This window comes from Homo sapiens, chromosome X (assembly GCF_000001405.40).
Source record: "Homo sapiens chromosome X, GRCh38.p14 Primary Assembly".
Taxonomy (NCBI): Eukaryota; Metazoa; Chordata; class Mammalia; order Primates; family Hominidae; genus Homo; species Homo sapiens.
In genome coordinates, this window is record NC_000023.11 from 86020523 (window position 1) to 86048246 (window position 27724).

Here is a 27724-nt window from a genome sequence, read left to right on the forward strand (position 1 = left end):
ATATTACTATATATATTGCAAACATTACAAAATATACATATTACAAATATATATTACAAATATTACTATATATTGCAAATATTACAAAAATTTATATATGATATACATCTGATATATATCTCCGATATATATGAAATACATATGATATATATCTCCGATATATACATCTGATATATACATCTGATATATATCTCCGATATCCGAAACACTTCTGGTCCCAAGCATTTCAGATAAGGGCTATTCATTCACCTGTAGCGGCAGAAGCAGCATTTAAATATATAAGAGCAGTAGATGCTCTTATATATATCTCTGATATGTGATACATCATATATATCATATTTATATATATTTATCATATATATCTGATATATATGATAGATACATACATCTGATATATATATCTTATATATCAGAGATATATATCATTATCTATCAGAGATATATGTGTGTATATATACATCTGAATCCCAGATGTGTGTATATATATATATTTACACATATATACACACACATATATATACACATATATACACACATATATATACACATATATATACACACATATATATACACATATATATACGTATATATATGTGTATATACGTATATATATATATATATATATATATATATATACACGTATATATATGTGTATATATATATATATATGAAATCCGAAGCACTTCGGGTCCCAAGCATTTCAGATAAGGGCTATTCACCTGTAGTGGCAGAAACAGCATTGTTAAGAGTAGTAGATGCTAACATTACTGAGGGCTTACTATGAAGCACTGTTATAAATCCATTACATAGATTAGTTGATTTAATCCCATCAACAATCTTAGATATTAAATATTATTATGCCCTTTTTTCTTTTGCAAACATTGGTACCAATATTATGTCATTTTTATAAAGAAACTAAGGTACAGAAAGATTAAATAACTTGCCAAAGGTTACACACCTAGTAAGTGGAGAAACCAAGATCTGAACACAGGCACTCTGGCTTAAAAGCTCACATACAACTTCCCAATAAAGCCAAAGAATAGGAAGTTGGTGGGAATGTGAAACAGTATAGCCACTATGCAAAACAGTATGGCACTTCCTAAAAAATTAAGAGTGGAACTACTATATGGTCCAGCAATCCCACTTTAATTTATCCAAAAAAACAGAAATCAGGATCTTGAAAAAACATTTGCACAGCCATGTTCATAGCAGCATTATTCACAATAGCCAAGAAGTGGAAGCAGCTCAAATATCTATCAACAGATGAAGAGATAAACAAAATGTGGCATACACACACAGTGGGATATTATCCAGGCCTAGAAAGGAAGGAAATCCTGCAGTATGCAACAAAATGGATAAGCCTTGAGGACACTGTACTAAGTGAAATAAGCCAGTCACAAAAAAGACAAATATAGTGCTGCATAAGTACACTTATATGAATGAGGCATCCAGAGTAGTCAAAATCATAGACAGAAAGTGGAGTAGTGGTTGCTAGTGGCTGGAAGAGCAGTAGAAAATAGGGAATTATTGTTGAATGGGTACACAGTTTCAGTTCTGCAAGATCAAAAGAGCTCTGGAGATCTGTTGCACAACAATGTGAACATACTGAACACTGCTGAATTCTATGCTTAAAAATGGTTATGATGGTAAACTTTGCATGTTTAAATGACAATTTTTAAAAAATTATTTTTAGAAAAGCAAATAAAGGCATGTCCACAGAACACAGATATATGGTATAATTTTACATGTAAAGCAGACATGACAGATAGAGCTGGGGAAGTAGACTGAACCTGATGAAGAGTCTTAAATGCTAAAATGAATTTTAAATGATAAAATATTTAATCCTGGCCCAGAGCAGGAAAACATTACATAAATGTTCCTTTCCTTCAGACTTTCTCCTCTATGGGTAGAGAGACACTAAGGTTTTCAAGGAGTGAAGTCGCCATATATGAAAATCTACACCCTCCTGCTTTTCTTCTCAACCTCTGATTGTTTCCTTTCAATCTCCTTTGATGGCTTTTCTCCTTTTACCCATGCCTTAAAAGTTGCTCTTGCCCAGGTTTCTATACTTGCCTGTTTTGTGTTTCACTATATGCATTTTCAGGATGATTCTATTCACTTCTTTGGTTTTAACAGCCATTTATTCACAAATAATGCCCAAATCTCTTATCTCCAGCTCTAGATCTTCCACTCAGGCTCCTTATACACATACCCACATACACATACACATCCCTAGGTGAATGGATCTCTTCACCAAGGTATGTCACTGGTACCTCAAACTCAACATCTTCAATTCTGAACACATTATCTTCCCTTCCCCAGTTCTATCCCTAAGTCTGAACATTCTCTTGAATTCCTTGCATAAGTAAATGAAATTGTCACCACCATCCACCAAACGGCTCAAACCAGAATCTTTGGTGTCATCTGTAATTCCTTCCATTCCCTCACCTACTTTATCTGATCCACCACCAAAAATTCTTGCTATAACCTCAAATCCTTCTACCTTTTATTCATTCTGATTGCCAATAGCTTCTTCAGTTCATCATCCATAAACTAGACCATTGCAAACAGCCACCTAGCAAGTCTGCCTACCTTTCTCCAACCAACCATCTACTGTGTAGTACTAAAACACACATCTGATCATTTAATTCCTCTGCTTAAGAGCATTTAATAGCTCTTTAATATCTATAAGATAAAGTAATTCTTTGACCTGAGCCCTACCTTTGTACCCTCAACTTTCCACCCCAACCTGTACTTAATTGTATATTCTCTGCACCTGTCATACTCAACTACGTGTAGTTTCCCAAACTTGTCACTCTCTTTCATCTCTCAAATCTTTGTACATGTTGCTCCATCTGTCCAAAATGTTACTCCCAGCTCCAACCCCTACTAGTACATCTCATCCGATGAAATCCTACCTGTCCTTAGAACCTTAGATAAGGTACCTACTCCTATGGGAAGCCCTCTCACTGAGTTAGTTGTCCCCCTATAGCACCTTATATATACCTCCATCAAATAGCATAGCATGTGTGTCTATTTCTTTACTTCCCTTACTAGATTGTGAGTCAGTGTATTTTTATTTATCTTTGCATTCTTAACATCTAGCACAATTCCTTGCACAAAGATTCTCAATAAAAATGAATGGTGATAGTTTAAAAACTTGATGACACTAAAAGTCAAGGTTACTGACTGCATACTTTAATTTTTAGCCACAGATTACATCTCTAACAACGGCTATTTATCCAAAATGTGTGTGACATAAAGATTATACAACACCAAACTAACCATTAACAAAAAAAAAAATCATACACACAAATATGTATTAGTACTTATCCACCCATCAAATATCTAATGTATACCAGCAACTGTGCTAGGTGCTGGAGATACAAAGATGAATAAGACCTATGATGTAAGGGCTTAAAGGGTAGTGGGGAAGACAGGGAAGTGAATGATTAAGAGTATGATAAATGCCATGGCACTCTTATACAGTATTACAAAAACCTGGGCATAGTTGTGACACATAGCCAGTGGGGTTTAAGGAAGTGGGACTTCCCTGAGGAGGTGGTATGTAAGCTAAACATTGAAAGACAAATAGAAGTTAGCCAGGCTGAGGGGTAGAGACAGGCAATCCAGGCTGAGGGGATACCTTATGTAAATCCCAGACAAAAAGTGGGAAGATGAAGTAAAGACTACAATATGTTCAGCTACTGCAAATTTCAGCATTGCTGGTGTCTACACCTAAAGATTGAAGTGGCAAGAGATGAGGCTGAAGGTGTTTTAAGCAAGGCCACATCATAGATGGCACTGTATGACATACAGAAAATTTGGACTTTCTCCTAAAATCCAGTTATATCTACACTGACCCAGACCCACTCATTTCAACCACAGCAGCTCTGCTTTCATCTTTTCAAGTTGTTTCGGTTCCCTCACTAAGTCTTTCTTTTAAACTTGGAAAATCACTAACATAGGCAGCAGAGAAACACTGAAGGATTTCATGCAGCAGAGTGATGTGACTGGTGGCAGTGTGATAAATAAACTAGAGAGCTGGAGATAAAGTCAGGAGGTTATGAGCTCATTCAGTTGAGAAATGACAAAGGTTTGAACTAGGGAAATGACAGTGGCATAAAGAAAAAGAGATATGGAGAGCTATTAAAGTTAGGGGATATAAGTGAAATTATGTTTTCAAAGTATGTATCATAGTACCTAGAAGAGATCAATAAATGTGTTCTATTATTATCAAAATCATCTGAATAAATCTGGAGGATAAAGCAAGAAAATCAACAGAAGTATACAAGTTTCGTTAAGTTGAGAAACTGGGTAGACGGTGTTATCATTCCAAAAGACTGGGAGCAGGATGCTGTTTTTTGGGTTCTGTACATTTTGAGGTGAGAATGGGGAGGATGAATTCATGGCTTAATATTAGCCATGTTAAGGTGCCTGTGGAACATCTAGATGAAGATATCAGATGATAGGCTATATGAAACTGGGGCTCAGAACAGATTCAGATCAGGAGATATCATCAGTATGCAGACAACCACTACCCTCAGATAATGGTGCCAAAGAAGCCCCAAATCTAAGCTTAAGATGTGGGAGAATCAATACCTAGATGTATCTAAACTTTCAAAAGCCACCAAGTCTGAGGATGTACAAGAGAAGAAGAAAAGTTTCGTCACTTTGAAATGCCATTTTTATTATACTATAATGTCTTAAGACAACCATATTATCAAGCTTTTCTAATTGATTCACTGCTTGTCAAAGTAAGACCTAGGTTCTTATATTTTTAATCAAACTTTATTTTTGGAATATGAGTAAACCCAATTTGATTTGTAAAATAGTCTTCATTCTGGGAAGACCTCATGTTCTGGAATAAGAAAACACAAAATAGGCCAGGTACGGTAGTTCATGCCTGTAATCCCAGCATTTTGGGAGGATCGTTTGAGGCCAAGAGTTCAAGACCAGCCTGGGTAGCATAGCGAGATTCCATCTCTAAAGAAAATGTTCAAAGTTAGCTGGGTGCAACGGCATGCACCTGTAGTCCTAGTTACCCAGGAGGCTGAGGCAGGAGGATAACTTGAGCCCAGGAGTTTGAGGTTACAGTGAGCTATTACCATGCCACTGTACTATAGTCTAGGCAACAGAGTGAGATCCTGTGTCAAAAAAAAAAAAAGAAAGAAAGAAAGAAAAAGAAAAAGGAAAAGAAAAAGAAAAAAAAAACACATACCTACACACAAAGTAAATCTGAAACTAAAATTATACATGTTAGGAAGGTAAATTTCGAAAAATTACTTAATGTCTCTATGTCCCACATTCCCCATTTGTCAAATTGGGATAACACCACCTACCTTACTTGGCTGTGATGAGAATTAAGTTACATAACATGTGTAAAGAAACTAATATGTTGACTAGCACGTAGTGCAAGCTCAACAAACAATAACTTTTACTATCATTCTACCTTTGAGAAATGAGAAGCAAGAATTTTACTTTTAATTTTAGGTTAAATAAGGTCATGAAAAACATATCTGAATTAATATTTTAAAGTATACTGTCTCAGTACCTGGGCTTTCAAGGTAGCAGATTTTCTTTTTTTTTTTTTTTTTTTTTTTTTTTTTTTTTTTTTGAGACTGTCTTTCTCTGTCACCCAGGTTGTAGTGCAGTAGTGCAATCTCGGCTTACTGCAACCTCCACCACCGGACCAAGTTCAAGCAATTCTCCTGCCTCAGCCTCCCAAGAAGCTGGGATTACAAGCATGCACCACCACGCCCAGCTAAGTTTTGTATTTTTAGTAGAGATGGAGTTTCATCATGTTGGCCAGGCTGGTCTCAAACTTCTGACTTCCTGACCTCAAGTGATCCGCCCACCTCAGCCTCCCAAAGTGCTGGGTTACAGGCATGAGCCACCACACCTGGCCCAAGGCAGCAGATTTTCTAACATGTAAACCCATGATATGTCAAAAAGACTGAATTGAGAGATTAACACAAGCAGTCGTGCATACAATAGTGAAATAGTAAAAGCAAATTACAAAGGCAGGACGTGTATGAAAACTGAATCCAATTTAGAAATTTCATCCAGTTGCTCCCAAATCTTAGCTATTATAACAGAATATGCTTTCAAAATGAATTTAGAACAGGTTAAAAGAAGATTAACTCATGTTACTTTTTGGATTCCTACATATTTACAATGAGATAACATATGGGAAGACACTATAAGCTATGACAAATCTAATTTTTTTTATATTGTAGCATTCTGAAAAACACTGTAGTTAATATCTAACAGAAAATAAAAAGTGTGTTTCTTCTTTCTATTCCTATTCAATGAAGAATTAAAGTGCCAAGATCTAACAGTCAAAAGCACTTAATAGGTGGGAGATTAGGGGTTTGTTTTGGGCGGATATAGAAATGGAGAGATTTAACCTATGCTTTATCTTAAACTTGAGTTTTCCATCAACCTCCTGCTTATCATCACATTTAAGAAAAAAAGGGAAAAACATAATTGTAGATATTTTTCCTAGTTAAGACTTCCTAAGTTTAAATTTTGATGAAGTTTAAGAAAATAATGCTCAAAATCTATTGGCTGACTTTTACAACCATCAAATATGAAGCCTAAAATACAATAGCATATATAGGTTGTATATACCCACACACATATGTAGGAAAAGGGGCAGGCATGAGGTTTCCAAGCCTCTTGGAGAATTACTTGTTATTTTAAACAAAATCACTCATGAGAAAAATAAAATGATGCATTTGGTTTATTCTCAAAGATCACTATTTCACAAAATAGTAAAACTTGTATGCTATATATTTCACATATTAGTGGTTAAAATTAAACAACTCCGATCTTTCTTCTAACTTAAGTTTATGTATGATATACACATACATGTACATACGTACAGACATATATGTGTTTATGTAAATTTTAATCCTGTATAGAGATATTTAGGAAATATTAAATGCTATCGTTGATAAACTTACGAATCAACATGCAGAACTCTCCGGCCACTTCTTGAACATGCAGCTGCAATGATGGATTCAGGCAAACCTACAAAAACACACACCCGTATCATTTAGAATGTAGAAATATATATATTTTACATAAAATGTTCAATACATGCCATTGCTGTATAGAACAGTTTAACCACCAAAGAGACCCATCCTTGCTTGTATTCAGAATTATAAAGTTTATATTAATTATACTGTAAGATGTTTCTTAAACATATACCACTCATACTGAAAATTTTATTATGTGGAAGACATTTTTTTTTTTTGAGACGGAGTCTCACTCTGTCACCAGCTGGAGTACAGTGGCGCGATCTCGGCTCACTGCAACCTCCGACTCCCTGGTTCAAATGATTCTCCTGCCTCAGCCTCCCGAGTAGCTGGGATTACAGGCATGCGCCGCACACCCAGCTAATTTTTGTATTTTTAGTAGAGACAGGGTTTCACCATGTTGGCCAGGATGGTCTCAATGTCCTGACCTTGTGATCCGCCCACCTCGGCCTCCCAAAGTGCTGAGATTATAGGCGTGAGCCACTGTGCCCGGCCAGATATATTTTTTAAAAAGCAGTTCTGCTTAATTTGGCAAGAAAAAATAATTTTTAAAAGTACTTACAATCTTTTTGTATGTAAATTACCATCAATGAGCAACTGTAACTACTATATATTGTTCAGTTAAAAACCATGTTCACACACTAGCTCATCTGAGTCTCCCAATTGCACTGAGAGATAACCATATGCATATGCATTTTAGAGAAGAAGAAAAAGAACCAGGACATGAATATCTTAACTTTCTGCCCAATGCTTAGAACAAACAAAAAAAAGTTCTAGAGTTGAAATTTAAACCCAGATATAACTCCGAAGCCACAATGCCTCTGAGGGGGAATGGCACACACTTTTTAGCTTAAGAAATATGTCAGCTAGTTTAGAAAGGGGCTGCTTACAAGATACATTATTTTGCTTTTGACCAATATAGCAGTATAAAAACAAAACATTTATGCTTTAGAATCAAACTTAATCATACCATAAAGCTGATTATCATAAAAAGACATATATATATTATTTCTACCAGCACCAACCAAAAATTAAAAATTGCCAAAGATAATGATGTTTTATGATTTTAAAAATTCAAGTTTTCTATTTGATAGTTAATACCCTGTAAGTTCCAGACTCTTCAAAAATTTTTGTCATATGATCTACCATGTTGATAGAAGCTAGTATTTTTTATATTAGTTATAAAAATAAAGCATGCTTTAAAAGTTTAGTGCAATTCTATAGTGCTACTACGAACTCCTTCACCATGATGAAACATCCTGATCCTCTCGTGTTTTTACTTAGTGGAAAAAAAAACAGCACCAGTCTTTTGGCAAGGGTTTAAACTACACACTAAGCATCAAGGATTTCAGGAAAGGGGAAAGTCATCTTCTGTATATAAAAAGCAATATGCATATGGAAACAATTGATACAGTCAATCTCTAGCTAAAATCCATATTAAACACAAGCTCCAGCCTGCCTTCACAGAGGAACTAGTTTTCCAGTGTTGAACATTTTGTGGGAATATAATGCTTGGTTCAAAACAAAAGAAGTTCTAACAAATGTACTGAAAATAACCATTAAATATCAATCATCGAAAACAAGCCATCATAAAGTTCCAAGCTTAACTTTAGATATAATTCAAGTAAACAAAATAAGAATTTCTGGAGTAGAGGGAAATAGGAGAAAGTTTTAAATAGCTAAATGCAGTTTTTAAGTTAAAACCCTTATTGAAATCAAAAGACCATCTGAACTTTTTGCTACACTTAAAGAAATAATGTTCCTTTTTAGTGAAATGCAGTCATTATGGTACTTTAAAAGCTGATAAGCAGCTTAGTTAAAAGGATAATGGCAAAGAAATACTCAGGAAGCAGAATTAGTAGTTAAAGATTAATGCTCTTATGTGTAATAATCACAGCATTAATAACAATGCCACCAAATATTAGTATAGGGTTTTATCCTCCAAACTGTATTTTCACATACATCATCTTATTTATTCCTCATTATAATCCTAGGAGGCAGGCAGTATTATCTATGTGAGGAAATAGGTTAAGAAAGGTTAAATAACTTGCCAAATACCAAGTAATTTGGTAATTCCATATCCCCAATTCAAATTACCATGATAATTCACTATCTCCAACTTGGATGCAAGTTTGAAAATGAAGATTCAAGGACAATACAGCAACAAAATGAAACAGGCATGGTCTCAATCAGACAGACTTAGACTTGAATCTTGGTTTTGCTACTCACCTAGCTGCACAACCTCAGATAAGTCACTTGACTTCTCTGAGCCTTTGTTTCCTCATCTATCAATGAGAATATCATGATCTACCTCACAGAATTCAGTTCTGTTGTTAGCAAGGGTACTTGCCCTATGAACACTATCTACTCTTATTATCCTTCAGAATGATATTTTAGAAGCATTATTTCCATCTAACACTACCCCAAACATAAACCTATTTTCACCAGATGCCAGCTCCAATGGTGAACAATAATAAAATTACTCGCCTCCATTTGGCCCAAAAATAACTCTTACTTAGGGTAGGCAGTTATACACGTGGTTATTTCCATGGCTGTGATCAACAATGTCAGAAGTCAAATCTCTGCTATTAAAGCAAAGCCAAGAATGGATTTCAATACTGAACATGATTTGAGTCCAAATTACATAAAGCCAAAATGACTATCATTTGTGTTTTTCCTTAATACTTCCATCCAAACATTCCCATAAGTTTGTGAAATTCATAAGCTGTTCTAATGTTAAATGGCAAGGGCCTATTATCTTCATGCTTAGAATGACTAAAATAGCAAACTAATAATACAGTTAACAATGTCTTCTTGGCCAAGATTTCATATTTCTTCCCACCCATTCAATAAACAGAATTTCCAGGATACAGGAGGCATGTAGTAGGTTCTCCATAGATATTTGCTGAAGAAAAGAAAAAGAAAATGGGGAAAGGGGAGAGGAAGGGAGAGAGAGAACAAACTGTGCTAGGTAGTGAGAGGTTGCCATACGTTTTTTGCAAGATAATCCCTAGCCTGTTAGAGCTCAGAGTCTATGTAACAAGAATTTAAAGAGATTAAAATAATAAGTGTATTTAAAACTGTGATAGAAACACAATGGAAAGAAACACTCCCTCTGTAGAGGGAGTCATGGAAAGCTCCAAAGAACAGGAGAAATTAGCTGGGTCTTTCAGGGTCTCTAACAACCCTAACTGAGGAGTGCAGAAGACGGAAAAAGGAAAGTGGAAAGGAGCATTCCTGGCAAAGTTAAAGGAAGGGAGAACCAAAAAGTGATCCTTTAAAAAAAGTGTTTGGACTGGCCTACTTCACTTAGCATAAAGTTTTCAAGGGTTATCCATGTTGCAGCATGGATCAGTACTTCATTACTTTTTTTTTTAATAACCACGTAATATTCCCTTATATGGATATATCACATTTCTCTATCCATTCTTCTGTTGATGGACATTTAGGTTGTTTTCACATGTTACCCATTGTGAACACTGCTGCAACAAACATAAAGCCAGTGACAGAAGGACAAATGCCACATGATTCCACCTATATGAGGTATTTAAAAATAGGCAAATTCACAGAATCAAAAAGTGGAATGGTGGTTGCCATGGGTTTGGGGGAGAGGGAAATGGGGAGTTGCTAATCAACTAGCATGAAGTATCAGTTATGAAAGAAGAATAATTTCTAAAGAGCTGCTCTACATCATTGTACCTATAGTAAACAACACTGTATTGCACACTTAAAAATTTGTTAAGAGCAGGGATCTCATGTCAAGTCTTCTTACCAACATAAAACAAAATTTAAAAAAATTTCCAAGAGGTTGAAGCCAAATTATAGTATCTGAACTTGAGCCTCTGAGGAATAGGGAGTCTTGAAAGGACTTTAGCCAGATCATGGTCAAATCAGGGTTTCAAAAAATAAAAATAAAAACTGTAGTCAAAGCAAGGAGGATAAACTTGTATAAAACTGGAGCTTTATGCTTCATGGTTTTTAAAAATTATTTAGCGCTGGGCACGGTGGCTCACACCTGTAATCCCAGCACTTTGGGAGGCCGAGGTGGGCAGATCACCTGAGGTCGGGAGTTCGAGACCAGCCTGACCAACATGTAGAAACCCCATCTCTACTAAAAATGCAAAATTAGCCAGGCGCGGTGGCGCATGCCCATAATCCCAGCTACTCGGGAGGCTGAGGCAGGAGAATCGCTTGAACCCGGAAGGCAAAGGTTGCGGTGAGCCAAGATCGCACCATTGCACTCCAGCCTGGGCAACAAGAGAAAAACTCCGTCTCAAAAAAAAAAAATTTATTTAGGAAAAGTTAACATACTTAAAACTTTTTGGTCTTATTGCTAATTTGGTAAAATAATAAAATGACTGCTTGTTTTGTTTAAATTAATATTTCTAAGTGCATACTTAAAAGTTTTTGGTCTTATTGCTAATTTAGTAAAATAATGACTGTTTTGTTTAAATTAATATTTCTAAGCTCAATTTTAATGGCACTTAAACTCTTGATTAATTTCAAAATAACACCTGTTCAAATTCAATGCTTAAAAAAGTGAACTACTACTCAAGTTCACACAATATATTTGTGAGGCATTTAGATGAAACATGTACGTGCTTATTTTGAACTATACAGTCTCTCCCACAAAGAAAAGCCCGACATGAGTTAGAAACAGATAACCTAGATGAGGGTCAAATCCTACAGCATTCCACTGGAAACACTCTGTAAAATGTGTGAGCACAAATATACAAGTACAACGTTTTCAACTGTAAGATGAGGTTAATAATACATCTCATATGGGTGCAGGGAGAACAGGTACAAAACGGTATCAAACACTATACACAGTGGCTGTTGGCATGTCACTGGCATTCAGTAAATGTTGCTTCTCTTCCCTCCTCTTCCTTTCCCCTTCAATAAGATTAGTTATTTGAAGGAAAAAAAAAAGGCATCACTTGCTTACTATTTACTTAAGTTACCCTCAAAGATCTAGCAACTTAAAATCATTTTTTAAAAAGTCCAATAACCTTTTCTTTATGTAAACTATAGAGGTTCATCAAACATTTAATATCATTTAAACATTTCACATTATTGAATATAATTATTACATTCATTAGAGAGGTTGTACCAAACAACTTGCTCTGCCACAGTATTATAAGCAAGCATGTGTAATTCTGATGCAAGACAACAACTTTGGCAAGTCATTTTTATTAAACACAGGTAAATATTAGGTATTAAGTTACCATTTCATAACAGTTGTAGTGGGGGAAACTGAGGTTTCCTCCATCATGACTTTCACAGTTGAGGTTCTGTTACAAAGGTGGCAGCTAGAAAAAAAATTAGAAGCTTATGGAATGTTATATCATCATACACTAATATGTATGGTACCAGCTTTCTGCAATTTTCTAAAAACCTGTCTAGATGAAATAGAGATGTTTCATTATCAAATGAAGGAGCTAGGCTAAAATCAGGACCCAAGAACCTCACCTAAGATATTTTACAGAGATAAAACCATTATCTATTCATTTTTCAAAATCCCCCTTTAATCCAAATTCTTAATGTCAAATCTCATCATTTACAACTATAACATTTAGGTTAGTTCCCCATGATATATTCTTAAAATGTATTAGTATCTGGGATTGATTTTTCCTAACACTATGCTTACACGAGATAAACATAAAATAAAGTACTTACACCACTCCCAGCATATCGAACAATAAATAATAGATTCCCCTGACAGGACTTTGATGACCTGGCAAAGCCCAAGTACTTTCAGCTCAAATCATATGAAACCATAAATCACTCTTTATTTTATAGAACATTTCAAAATGGATTTCTGCTTTCTACCTTGAAAGTCATTCCATGTGTTATTTATAACCAGTGAAGACCAGAATGGAAAGAAAATTACATAGAACTAGAAAATTTACTGTGACTGCTTTAATAAAGAGTAAGTTCTTTTTTAGGAAAAACAGAATTGCTGGCAAGGAAAACTTGATTGAGCAATGAATGCAAAGGTGAAACTACATACTTAATTCATGCAGCCACTCAAAATAATGACATCACAAAATTAAGCAGAAACTGAATTTCAACCCAGGTTTAAGTAGTTTTGTTGATTCCTATCTTAAATTCTATAATAAATATTTACATCTTAAGTCTACTTTTTAGTGGCTACCATAAAAAGGGAAAAATTGCAAATGAAGTAGCCTAGGGAACTACCACAACATAAAGATAAAAATATCATTTTTAAATTGACAATTATTTTTATTCACTCTAACCTCCCCACAAAATACTAAATATTAGTAAATGTAATTTAAAATCTCTGAACTTCTTCCTCGTGGAACAAAATGTGTATTTATAGCCATGTAATTTTTAGAATTTTTTGAAAAATATACTACCCATTAAAACATTAACTTGGAAAATTTATTTTAATTTTTAAAAATTCACTATGGTGTGAGCCTTTAGGGATGGCTAATAAAAAGAGTTTCAGTATTCAAGAGTACTGAATTAAGAATCAGAAGGACTGGCTTCCTGTTTTTAGGTGGATACTAAATAGCTGTGACCTCACGAAAGTCACTTAACCTCTGGAATTCAGATTCCTTATAGATATCCTTATTAGATAAAATAAAGGGCTTGGAATAAGTGACCCAAAGGTTTGTTTCAAGTTCTGAAAAGTGAATGTTTATGCTAGGTCAACAACTTGACCTCTATTCTTGAGCAAATGATAAAGTGAAAGATAAAAAGAGGCTTCTGTAAAGATGGCAGCAGTTGTTGAATCTCCCCCATAACTCCCATAAAAACAGACAGTACAATCAGGATACCCAAACCAAACTCCCAGGGACAACATCCATAACAAAGCAAGGTGATACAATATCATCATGAACCCCAAAATAGAAATGGGTAGTTACAAGCCACCAATAGCTGTAACACCCACATGGTATTAGAAAGTGTGCAGGCTGGGTGTGGTGGCTCACACCTGTAATCCCAGCACTTTGGGAGGCTGAGGTGGGCAGATCACCTGAGGTCAGAAGTTCGAGACTAGCCTGGCCAACATAGTGAAACCCTGTCTCTACTAAAAATACAAAAATAGCCAGGCATGGTGGCAGGCGCCTGTAATCCCAGGTACTCGGGAGGCTGAGGCAGGAGGATCGCTTGAACCTGGCAGGCAGAGGTTGTAGTGAGCCGAGATCACGCCATTGCACTCCAGCCTGGGCGACAAAAGCAAGACTTTGTCTCAAAACAAAACAAAACAAAAAAAAAGAAAGTGTGCAAAAGGAAATGAAGAGAAGATCAAAAAAACTGTTACAGCCCTGAGAGCCAGAAAACCCCAAAAGTGCTATCAGGCACTCACTGGAAGCTTGGCAGACCATTCTGAGAACAGCAGCAGAAACTGGGAAGGGGTTTTGCAGACTTCACCTTGTGAATGAGGGGATAGTCCCACACTGAGGAGTAACTGCTGGGAACCTAATCCAAATTCAGCAGGGAAAATAGAGGCAAAGGAAAGAGAAGGTCTAGACAAAACTAGGGGAGGGTAACAGAGCCAGCAGATTTCAGGCTACATGTTTGATTACCTCCTGAAAACAAAGAAGAGAGGTCTACAGCAAAACAGTTCGAATAGTTTTACTGGCCCCTCCTTCCTATTGAAAACAAAAGGAAAACATTTTTCACTTAAAAATGAGCAACGCAAAAGGATTTCAGTTGAATCACATTCAATGTACATTGGAAAAAAGGGAATAAGGAACAAAATAATATCCCAATAGACAATAAAAGAATGTCAACCTCACAAATTAGATGAAAAACGTAGCTAATTATGGTATTATGTGCTAAAAGAAATTAACAAAATGGTGGCAGCTCTGAGAGAACAACATGAATCAAAATTAGAAAAACTCAAAAGTAAGGTGATTAGAGAACAGGAACATTTTGAAAAAATGGAGTTAAAAAATTAAAGAAAAAATCATTTCAGATAAGAAAACTAAACTAGGAAGAGCACAAGACCAAAGAAACAAAATGGATAGATGCCTTAGAAAAAACTGAAGATACAAAGGAGGGCACGTGATGTAAGTGTTAAGCACATGTTAAACAAAACAGTAGTTATGTTTAAAAAGGAGAGCCCTACACTTTTTGATATATGTTGGAATATATACAGATAGAATGATACGATATTTAGGATTTGCTTCAAAATAACAGGGTTGGATGGTGAAATGAGAGAAACAGTGGAAGATACTGTCGACGAAAAGAGTTCATTTTTTTTTTTTTTTTTTTTTTTTGAGATGGAGCCTCGCTCTGTTGCCCAGGCTGGAGTGCAGTAGCGCGATCTCGGCTCACTGCAACCTCCGCCTCCCGGGTTCACGCCATTCTTCTGCCTCAGCCTCCCAAGAAGCTGGGACTACAGGTATCCGCCACCATGCCCGGCTAATTTTTTGTATTTTTAGTAAAGACGGGGTTTCACCGTGTTAACCAGGATGGCCTGGATCTCCTAACCTCATGATCCGCCCGCCTCGGCCTCCCAAAGTGCTGAGATTACAGGCGTGAGACACCATGCCCAGCCAACTCTGTAAAATATTTGAAGAGATTTATTCTGAGCCAAATATAAGTGACCACAGCCCGTGACACAGCCCTCAGGAGGTCCTGAGAACATGTGCCCAAGGTGGTTGGGGTACAGCTTGGTTTTATATATTTTAGGGAGGCATGAGACATCAATCAAATACATTTAAGAAATACATTGGTTTGGTTCAGAAAGGCGAGACAACTCAAAGCTGGTGGGGGGGGAAGTGCTTCCAGGCTATAGGTAAATTTAAACATTTTCTGGCTGACAATTTGTTGAGTTTATCTCAAGACCTGAGATTAATGGAAAGGAAAGTTCAGGTTAAAATAAAGGATTGTGGGGACCAAATTTTATTGTGCAGAGGAATCTTTCAGGTAGCAGACCTCAGAGACAGAGCAGGTTGTAAAATGTTTCCTATTGGACCTAAAAGGGTGCCTGGCTCTTAGTTGATTACCTCCTGGATCTGGAAAGAAAGGAAGCAAAATAAAGGGGGGAGGGTATTCTCTATAGAATGTGGATTTTTCCCACAAGAGACTTTGCAGGGCAATTTCAAGGTATGGCAAGGAAATATATTTTGGGGCTAAATATCTTTTCCTTGTCTCATAATGTTAATGCCAGAGTCAGACTGAAAAATAAGTCACAATATATAGGGTCAAATAAAACCCATCTGATGAGAATTTATGGTTTGTAGGGCATGACTCCCTAGACCCCTTAGGTAGGAATTTGGGCAAGATAAAAAATCAGAGCTTAGTCCTCATTACAGAGAAAACAAGACTGGCCATGAGTTGATAACTGTTGAAACTGGGAGTCTGGTATGTGGAGGGTTACTTTATTCTACTTTTTTATGTTTGAAATTTTCCATTGTAAAAAGCTTAAAAATGGACGTAGCATCCTGTTTTTTATCTAAATGGAGAAAACTACATCAACTCAAAATCTCTTGAAGTTTTGTTAAATAAATATAAATGTTTGCTGAAGACCTTATCCTTGCCAGGAAATAATCTCCACTACAACTAATTTTTCCTTTTTTTTTTTTTTTTTTTTTTTGAGACAGAGTTTCACTCTTGTCACCCAGGCTGGGGTACAGTGGCACAGTCTCGGCTCACTGCAACCTCCGCCTCCCGGGTTCAAGCGATTCTCCTGCCTCAGCTTCCCAAGGAGCTGGGATTACAGGCTCCTGCCACTACGCCTGGATAATTTTTGTATTTTTAGTACAGACAGGGTTTCACTGTGTTGGTTGGGCTGGTCTTGAACTCCTGACCTCAGGTGATCCACTTGCCTAGGCCTCCCAAAGTCCTGGAATTACAGGTGTGAGCCACTGTGCCCAGCCTAATTTTTACTTAATTTTCTTAACACAAATATTTCTATTGTAATTTAAGTGACCAAAATGATCTTTTCACAGCAAAGTATACCCCAGGCCAGTGCTCTTCAAACTTAACATAAAATTTAATTTGTGATAAGGAGAATAGTTTCTGTGTTCAGAACATATTTTACTAATGTGCCACATGACCTTTACTGCATTACTCATAAAACTGTGAGTCTAAAATAGATGATGAAAGAGAATAAGTATTCATTTCAAAAATGTTATAAAAATGATACAAAAAACCCTTCCCCTTTATATAAAATCCTATCATGAAAATCATTTTACAAAAAATAGAAATAAAAACTTTTCAGCTTTATAAACTATTTTTTTTAATGAGCGGGACCTTGGACCAAAAAAGGTATTATCATATCCATCCTATCAATTAAGATGCATGATGTATCCATTGTAAGCACTAACAGTTGTTGAAGACTGTAGGAAACAAAAGAATAGTCAACCAAAAGAAAAAAAGCTCCATAAACAGGACAATGAGTCCCATATTTGATCTTGAAAATTTAATTTGGAAGAACACTAAAAAAGACACAAAATGGCAAACCCCAGCACATGCACAAGTATTTCAGTGGGAAATTATGTACCTTGGGATTGTGAAAGGAAAACAAATCTCCCCAAAATCACTAAACCAAAAGGAAAAGTCAAGTTGGGAATTGTGTTGGGCAAACCTCTCTCCCTTTCTATTCCTAAATAAGATCACTACAAAGATTTTTAAAAAGCTACATACCTCCCTCACAATTTGCCCATAAGGAAATTCCTTGTGGACAACCAAAGGACAGGCAGAACTCAAAGTCATTCCTCTGTTCCCATGAGACAAATGCGTATCTGATGGCTTCCTCCGCCCTACTGTTTCACTACAGACTAAGGCATAAGTGACTATTCCTCATTTGTCTCTTAACTAACTATGACCCAGAAGCCTCCTCCCCACTTCGAGTTGTCTGGCCTTTCCTGATGGAACCAATGAATTATACATCTTACAAACGTTGATTAATGTTTCATGTCTCCCTAAAACATGTAAAATCAAGCTGTGCCCCTACCGCCTGGGGCACGTCATCAGGACCTGAGGCTGTGCCACAGGTGCATCCTTAACCTTGGTAAAATAAACTTTCTAAATTAATTTGGTAATCTAAATTATTTTGGTTTACAGGATCAATGAAGAATTCCTACTGAAGCAAATCATTTCTTAAAATGTAACTGTAATCTCTGATCCCATTTCTGGCCATTGCTTTAGTGGTTGATTCTCTCTTCAGTTTTAAGGGATAAACACAACCAGGTCATTCCGTTCACCTTCATCAAAAGAAGGTTTGCAAGCTGACACAGATGTCATGATGCTGTCAATAATAAGAAGCTGACATCATGAGGTTACTGCTGGAATCAGGATTTTAATGTCAACAATGATAACTCTCCAAAATAAAACAACTGCCAACCACAAACCCAGGTTAAAATAATCTCATCTTGATACTATGAGCTATTTTTTCAATTGAAAGATTCTAGCAAACTTAATCTAATACCTCAACCTTAGTCAGAAAAACTTTCGTCTTAACTGTTTCACCTACATCAAACTTAGCTGAGCCTCAGGCTTCACATTTGAAAAATGGAGATGATATAGTATCTACTGCAGGGTTACTGTGAAAATGAGACAATGCATTGTAGGGGCTTATCACCGTGCTTGGCATATAACAAATGTTAGACAATATTTTTCATGTGTTTGACAGTGTGTTGTAGGTACTAAAAACAATTTTCTAATTATCATTGATTTTGCTTACATAGCTTAAACCAAAGTAACACAGGTGTAGAAAATAAGGATTTGAACTCACAGCTCAGCATCTTCTTAATATGCCTCATATCCATGTGTAAAACTTTTTCTCTATACTTTAGCTTGTGTAAATTTTCTCATGATGATTTTAAATCCACATAAATAAGACTAGTTTAACAAATGTGCAAAGTCAGATCACAGAAACATGATTCAAAACATTTCAAAGCAATATAAAATGATTAAAACCACCATTAACTAGTAGCCATAATAACTCAATGAGAACACTGGCCTAGACCAAAAAAAAAAAAAAAAAAAAGACAGGTGAGAATACTCAAAAGAAAGAGTAGAAGTTAGTGAGTGACAGGGACAGGAGGCAGGGAAATTCTAGGCAGAAAAGGGCAGGTCCCTGAGAAAACCCCACCCTCAAGCCTGAAACCATGACGCAAAGTGAGAACTTATATCCCCATTTTCCCGTGCGAATGTTGCCTTTTCCGAAACCACTTACGGCCCACCCCACACCCCATCCTGTGTACATAAAAACCCCAGGCTCAGCCAGCAGAGAGAAGAGAAGCAGTTGGACATTAGAGACTACAGCTGGACATCAGAGAGAAGTGGCTCGACTTCAGAGGGACACCTTGACAGCGTAACTTCGAAGAAGAATCTGGCCAGAGACAGCTGGCATTCAGGGGAAGACTACCTTCCTGCCCTTTGCAGCTCCCCTTCCCACTAAGAGCCATCTCCATCAGCAATAAGATCCCCTACATTTACCATCCTTCAATTCATTCATGTGACCTCATTTCTCCTGGATGCCGGACAAGAGCTCGGGAACGATGAGTGTGGACACAAAAAGGCTGTCACACTTGCCCTTTGCCCTCACTGGTAGAAGGCAGCCGATTAACACAAAAAGGCAGAGGGCCCACTGAGCTGTTAACCCTTAAGCCGTCTGCGGACAGCAGAGCTAAAAGAGCACTGTAACATTCCCTCTGGAGCTTCAGGGGTTGCAGGCACCACCCCCGGAGATGCTACCACAGGGCCAGCACAGAGTTGACTCCTGCCAGTGCCCAAAAGCACTCGCCCCGGCTCCTGCACCCACTCAACTGCACATCCCCTCTTGTGAGGGGTGAAACACAGCAGGTCCGAGTGAGTGGAGTTCATTCCTCCTGGCACAAGAGCGGCAGGCTGACTCCAGCACTCATGTATTCCAGTTCCTGCCTTGTTCACTCACGTGCTCCCTCCTATGAGGAGTTGAAAGCGGTGGGCTGAGTAAACAGGGTGCTCCCTTCACAAGTCCCATGAAGGGGTCAGGAAAATATCCTGCTTCACCAGTACTTTTTAAAATGTGATAAAAACCAAATCAGTCAAGGAATACATTACCAACTTCAGCTCCTGATAAAATCCAGTATGAGATGAAACACTTATTTAAGCACCATACTGGCCAAGCTGCCTCTGGTCTCTTCTCCTGTCTGTTTGCAAACTGTTCTTTTCAAAAACACCCTCAATATGATAACATGCTAGCTCTCATAATCATGCTCTAAAAAAGCAGTATCTGTGATAAATTATCAACTCTTTTTACACCAAACCTTAAATGAAATTATTAGAAAAGCAAAAACAAAACATCAACCTTTCAATGTATCCCTATTTTGCTGGCCACAACTAAACGCCCCCAAAATGTTTCCAATGAGCACCAACAGTGATTTTTAGCCTATTTTACTTTTAAATATATTTATATACAGAACAGGCACAGACTAACTTTTTAGTTAAAGAATGCACTGAGACTGAATAGCAGATGATTTAGCATGAGTTAACAGGTCAATTATATGGAATTATAATTGTTTCTGTGCATTGGGATTTTATGTTAAACATGAGAATGTAATGGTGGGCTGCCATATTTGAATTTAATTACTGTAGCCTGTTATCCAAAACATCATGAAAACACTGGAGAAAATGAGAAAAATGACATGAGGCATGGGAGATGAAAATGATGCTGCAGAGGAAATTATGGCAACAGATGTGGCTCTCTCTGAGGTATTGGCTCAAATTCATGATTTACAGAGAAGGGTAAGCATCTCCCAGAGAGTCTTCTCCAGAGTTAGATAACTCTTTACTTTTCTAGGTATTGGAAGCAAACAAAAACATACTTTTCCATCAATAAATGCCTGAAGAAGTGCAAAGCATTTTTCAGAACAGCAAAATCTGCAGGCTATCTTTCACTCCTATAGCATCTCTTACGCTGACAACGGAGTGTTTCATACTATACCTCAAATAAGACCGATACTAAATCTGTTCCAAAAACTATGAGGAAAACAAATGATAAATAATGCAAGCTGGTGAACAAAAGAGAAGACAACAAAGAAAGGACTTTTGAAATACCATTTCACTCCTACTCACTATGTCATTCAGCTGATCAATATACTCTATGCTTTAAATTTTTTGAACCTGCCCTCCCCAAAAACATATGTGTGTATGTGTGTTTATGTATATATATATATATGTTATATATATGGTGTGTGTGTATATATATATATATATATATATATATATATACATATATATATAAAAAACAACATTCATCCTTACTACATGCATTCTGATATATTCTACCTCATTTTTATAATGCTGGAATTCACTCCATGATCCACTAATAGGTGGCATCTTACAATTTTTAAAAATCCACTGTAGACAATAGATGTGAAGATTTTGGAAGTACACAGGGAGGACTATGGACATCCTGTGATGTGAGAACCACATTCAGGCATCCTGGGAGAAGATTAAGTTAGAAATATAGGAAATCACTTGTGTTAAGGCTGGCACAAACAGATATTTGGTAAATATCAGTTTTCACAACTCCTCCTGCAATATTACTATCCCCCAAGGCTTACAGAAGTGATGCTATTCCAACATCATCATAAGTCAATGAGCTGCCAGTCAAGGTTAACTACCTTAATGTTTAAATTCACCAACATCAAGGAATGGGACTGGAACATCCCAACATCAAGGAAAGGCTACTTAAGTGACCTTTTCTGAAAAAAGCAGCCTATCATTTTTAAGAAAATGCCTTTTCTAATCAGTCACTGTATTAGGCTGTTCCTGTGTTGCCATAAAGGAATGCCTGAAACTGGGTAATTTATAAAGAAAAGAGGTTTAATTGGCTCAGGGTTCTGCAGGCTGTACAAGCATGGTACAGGCATCTGCTCGGCTTCTAGGGAGGCCTGAGGGAGCTTTTAGTCATAGCAGAAGGCAAAGGGGAAGCAGGCATCTCCCTTGGTGAGAGGCAAGGCAAGCAAGTGTGGGGAGATGCCACACACTTTTAAACAACCAGTCGACCAGGCACAGTGGCTCCCATCTGTAATCCCAGCAATTTGGGCCACCAAGGCAGGTAGATTGCTTGAGTTCAGAAGTGCAAAACCAGCCTGGGCAACATAGGCAGACCCCATCTCTACAAAAATAAAAAAAAAAAAATTAGCCAGGCATGGTGATGCATGTCTGTAATCTCAGCTACTCAGGAGTCTGAGGTGGGAGGATTGCTTGGGCCCAGGAGGTTAAGGCTGCAGTGGGCCATGATTGTGCCACTGCACTCCAACTAGGGTGACAGAGCAAGACCCTGTCTCAAAAAAAAAATTAAAAAATAAACCACCAGATCCTGCAAGAACGAATTCACTATTACAAGAAGAGTACCAAGCCATGAGGGATCCACTCCCATGACCCAAACACATCCCATCAGGCCCCACCTCCGACAACGAGGATAACATTTCAACATGAGATTTGGGCAGGACAAATATCTAAACCCTATCAGCCATTTTTATAGGAAAATTTCTGAAGTATATGAAACACTGACTTTCCTTCTTAAAAAGACTACACAGAACAGAATTTAGCCTTTTCTCAAGGACATGGTGTCATAAATAGATATATACAATGGTAATTTTAGGGCTGGTAGATCCCTACCTTGGAGATCATCTATTGAAATTTCTCACTTTACAGATGAACTAAATGATGTCACAAGAAATTCTGTAATTTTCCCAAAATCACACAATAGGATGGTCATGTGATTATCATACACCATGCTGCCACATCTACTACTGTATGGTGCTAAACACTATCTAGCAAGATAATCAGGATTTAGGGGCAGTACTCCTTATAATTTCCATGTTTATCTTTGCTATCCCTTCTCTTTCCCCATAATCTTTAGCAATAAAACTTTTTTTTTTTTTTGAGATAGGGTCTTGCTCTGTTGCCCAGGCTGAAGTGCAGTGACACAACTATAGCTCACTGCAGCCTCAAACTCCCAGTTTCAGGCAATCCTCCCACCTCAGCCTTCCAAGTAGCTGGGACTACAGGCACGTGTCACCATACCCAATTAATTTTTGTATTTTTTTTGTAGAAATACAGTTTTGCTGTGTCACCCATTTCAGCTACTTGGGAGGCTGAGGTTTCAAACTCCTGAGCTCAAGCAATCCACCTGCCTCGGCTTCCCCAAGTGCTGGGATTACAGGCCTGAGCCACTGCACCTGGCCAATGAAACTTTTTTTTTTTTTTGAGACAGTCTCACTCTGTTTCTCTGACTAGAGTGCAGTGGTGCCATCTAAGCTCACTGCAACCTCCGCCTTCCAGGATCAAGGGATGCCTGTGCCTTAGCCTATAGAGTAATGGGGATTACAGGCCCGTGCCACCATGCTTGGCTAACAATAAAACTCTTAAATCAAAAGAATATATGTGTTTATCCTATGCAGTAGAAAAATTAAGCTAACCTACTCTGCAGCCCATCTTAGGGGAAGAACTCCAAAAGATGTGAGCAGTGTGCTTTTAAAAAGAAAAAATGCAGGCTGAATGTCTACATGGTCTTCAAAAAGAAAGAAGGATGCAATGAAAAGCCTACATTGTCTTAAGAACAGCTTTGGGGATATGACTGTTAGGAAGGCCAGAACGTTCCTGAGAATAGGCAATACAGTAAACTTCACAAGGGAAGGGACTAGGTTCTCAGTAAATGTGGGTTGAATGACCTGAAAAATGAGTATTTGTCACTACACTAAATGTTATCAGGCCTTTGTGATGTTTGATGTAAGTTTGCATTTTAGGTGTTTTTCTCTTCCCTTTCCTATACAAACTGTCATTTGTATGTCTAATAGCAACCCCACCAAACATAGTCTTTGCAGAAGTTGATAACATTCCTTGTATCTTCTAAGGGGGTGGTTCTAATATGCTGAGCTTGCTAGAATTATTTTTAAAATGAGGATGAATATGTTCTAAGTGATGATCTCAGGGATTCCCCTATGTATGAAGCATGTCAATATTATCATATAGATCTTATAACTTCCATCTTGACTGCTCTTCTGTTGAGTTCTTGGCTCTGCTGTGCTGCAGATTACACAGGCTTCCAGATAAGTCACCTCCAGTGAGATGTAATGTTACTGGGACGACTTTTAACGTTCAACCAATGGTACTTGTCTATAATCCACAAAACTGTCATTTAAATGACTTTTTAAATGGCAAAATACCCTGAAAATGACAATTCTGTACCCAAGCTGAAGAGCACCTTCTAGACCCTTACCACATATATCTATTTTTATCCTCTCCCTTGAGACTCCAGTTGGCCCTCCTTCTTTATTCCATTTTCTTCTATTTTTTCCGCAATTCCACTTTAGCTTACTCTTCTGTCTTTGGATGTTCAAGAGATATTTACTGTATTTTCTAATCAGAAGGAAATGGGCTTAACTAAGAAAATACAAAGTTTATTTTTTTCCATAATCTCTCGAAAATATGATCTTAAGGAACAATTTCCATCTTGCATTACAGAAAATGATAATGCAAGTTAATCAAGGTGAAAGGGATTATAAAATATTATCTTCCATGATTATACTTGATGAAGCAATTGTTCCTTTATGACATTTTAACTAGGACTAAATCTGCTAAAAAGTATATCTAATAGCCTATTTCTTCATGTTTCTGATGCATGCATTATTGCTTCTACTTTTATTAATACAACTGAATCTATGAAACACTGCTTTTTCTATGATTTGCTCAATGTAATACATTTAATAAAGCAAACATTTTAAAGGCTACTTTCAGCAAACTATTTCACAAGAGAAATATCCCAAGCACACTAAAAAATAAATCAAATTAAATCATGATTGGAATTGTTGGAATCATTTATTTGGGGAATGACTCTTTTATTCAATTTTTACACTTTTGATGTACCTAAAAGCAAAATTACATATCATAAATTTAAGCAATGTGCTTGATAAAACCTAGAATGTGTCACCAATAAACAATATGAAAAATTTAAGTTTTAAGATTAACTTCAAATAAGTTCTTCCCAAACACTGAAAAATAACATTGCACTCACTGGGATAAGTATAAAATGAGTATTTTTCCAAATATAAGCGATGTCACCTGATGCAATTCTCTGGCTCACTCACTGTAACTTCCTACCTCTACCATAACAGACTCCATCAGGATGGATGTCTTCCAATTCTGAACTGTACAGAAGGCAAAATATTTATGAAAAACATTAGCATCATTCATAAGAATTAACATTCATCAATTAAAATTTGAACCCAGACCTGAAAAAAAAAATTGTTGATTAAAAAAATTGTTAAAAACACCTCAAGTTCCTACACAAAAAAAGCAAGATTATAAAACTCAAGTATGGTATAACAACTATTCCAAAATGGATGCTGTTCTCAGTTTTAGTATAGACTTAAAAGAAAAAATGAATAGTCCATTGGCTCTTTCCAGCTCTCATCCAACATCTGTTCATAGCAGCTACAACCAGGTTATTTGCAGCCATGCAGTTATTTTCAGGCTAAGAATAAACCTGTCCATGCTGTTCTGAGAACTGTTACCCAGGCATTTTTTGTTAGACAACATAAAGACCATCTATTTTACCTTCCTTATATTCAAAAACAAGGAAACTGAGGCTCAGAGAGATTTAGTGCCTGGCCCTCCCAATTCAAGCAATTCATACTAGCACTAAGCAAGACCTAAAACCAAGTTTTCTCAATTGTTTCTACGAATATGGGTCAACTCTGAGGATCAGAACCACTGACTGTTTTCCTGGGATGGAATGGGCCTTTGGAAATTTACCAGCTGTGTGATCCTGAGCAAATTACAACTTTTCCAAGTCCCCTTTTCCTCTTCTACAAAATGCAGAGAGTACCTACTACTCTAACAAGGTTGTGAGGATTATGTTCGGCTTGTAAAGTGCTTAGCACAGTGATTAGGAAATTTTAAGCATTCGAAAACAGGTAGCTATTATTTTTACTCCCAACCTGAAAACATGGCTGCTCCTAATCATGGCTGTATGAGAAGACAACGAACTGAATTCATTAACACAATGGACAGGGTCCCATCCACCAGAGCTTCTCTGGCCTACCACATTCTACAAACAGTAAAAAACCCCATCAAACAACCTATTTCATTCCATCTAAAATGATCATCCCTTACACTATTAAAAAAAATTGAAATTGCTGCCATATGTGTTCTGCTACGTGTTGTACACTGAATATGTCAACTAGAAACTGCAGAGGAGTTTCTGGTTCCACCCAAAACATGAAGAACAAACGACGGGAAAACAAGAGTTAGATAAGGTCACACACCTGAACTGGAACTCAGGACCTTATTCTCAGCACATTTAGTTATTGATGGTAGAAAGCAAGATGCTTTAAGCACCATAAAGCAGGAATAATGGCTACCTCAACAAAATAAAATTCCCTAGGTTTCTCAACAAAATAGAATCCGTTTACTTTCCCTAGTAAATTCATACGCACATGGGCAATAATTGAGCATCTTTCTTGTAAAACTGAGGATTAAGCTGTGTCTGAGCTGCGATGTATGCTAAGATCATACAAATCTATGAAAAAGTCCTATGAAATGGCGAGACAAAATGATGGGGAATATCACCTTGAAATCAATAAGGAAGGAATCATAATGTCTTGCCAAAGTCGTCTCCGTTGATAAAATCCCGACCCTCCATTTCATGACACTGCACATCCACTTCCCTCTAAGGAAATTAACAGGAATCACCGCAGCAACCAACCTCAGCAATCAGCATCGACCAGATCAACCCCTACTCAAATGGCGATAAGCACTGCGGGTCCCAGCCCCTCCCTGTAACTGCCAACTCCCGCGCTGACTCCGGACTACCTCACTTCCTTTCAGTTCTCCCTCCCACTCTCGACCCACGATGTTTGTCCCAAAACTCGCCACTGACAGAAAAAACAGAAACAAGACAGTCTTCCTAAACTTTGTCCAGGAAGCACCAGGCTACACATACCCGTCCCTATTACGATCACATCAAACTCCGAAGGGAGAGTATCCGCCATCTTGACGGGAAACGTGTCATGTGACTATTACTTGTGGAAATGAGATCAAGTTAGGCATTCCCTCCGTGGAAGGCGGAAAAGAAAACAGTGCATTCTGGGTGTTGTAGTTCTTGGGTGGAAGGTCCAGGCAGGCGACTACAGTATTATATTTAAAATGTTTACACGTAAGTTAAAAGCTCGACTCATTTTCCAGGCTGAATGCTGTAGCTCATTTAGCCTGGAGGGTTGAAGTAGGAAAGAAATGTAGATTTTTATTCCGTTAGCTAGGATGAATGTGGGAGACTTGGATACCCCTTGACAATACTGAAGCAAAATTGTTAGGAGACACGGAGAGCGGAGTGAAATTGAAGGCGGTTTGCTCTGTGAACAAAGGAGACTTTCATTCCAGCCTAAAAAACTGTTTCCCGCCATCGTTTCTGTACTTTCGTGTTGGCCCTCGAGGCATGGTTTTTCACACCAATACTTTCAGAATATATTCCATATCTTTTTCGTTTCCATGTCTCCTCGATGAAAACCCACAAAAAACCTCTCACCCTAGTTTCGCCAGAATGGAACTCCCACCGCGTCCGTATTTGTTCCAGTTAGTCCAGACAGCCACTCGGGCAATAAATTAGCCTTGCTTTACAGGAGGGAAAAAATATATGAAAGCATGGTTGCGCTGGATAAGCGTCTGTTGAGTCTGAATTCGATTTTCCGCACCAACTAGATAAGTTC

General features: G+C 37.3%; 1 protein-coding gene across 9 annotated transcripts in view; it reads right to left on the minus strand.

Annotated features, from left to right (window-relative positions):
- The window catches only part of CHM (CHM Rab escort protein), a 186379-nt gene extending 159343 nt beyond the window's left edge, over nucleotides 1-27036 (minus strand). For 3 of the 9 annotated variants that reach the window (NM_000390.4, XM_017029242.3, NM_001145414.4), the window contains exons 1-2: nucleotides 26962-27036; nucleotides 6969-7035 (exon numbers count right to left, since the gene is read on the minus strand). In NM_000390.4, coding sequence (NP_000381.1) covers nucleotides 6969-7035; nucleotides 26962-27010 — 116 coding nt within the window. In that variant the 5' untranslated portion in view covers nucleotides 27011-27036. Of the gene's footprint in view, nucleotides 1-6968; nucleotides 7036-12268; nucleotides 12353-26588; nucleotides 26807-26961 lie in introns of those variants that run through there. The other 6 variants (NM_001362519.1, NM_001362517.1, XM_047441793.1 and 3 more) reach the window with 5 other exon arrangements.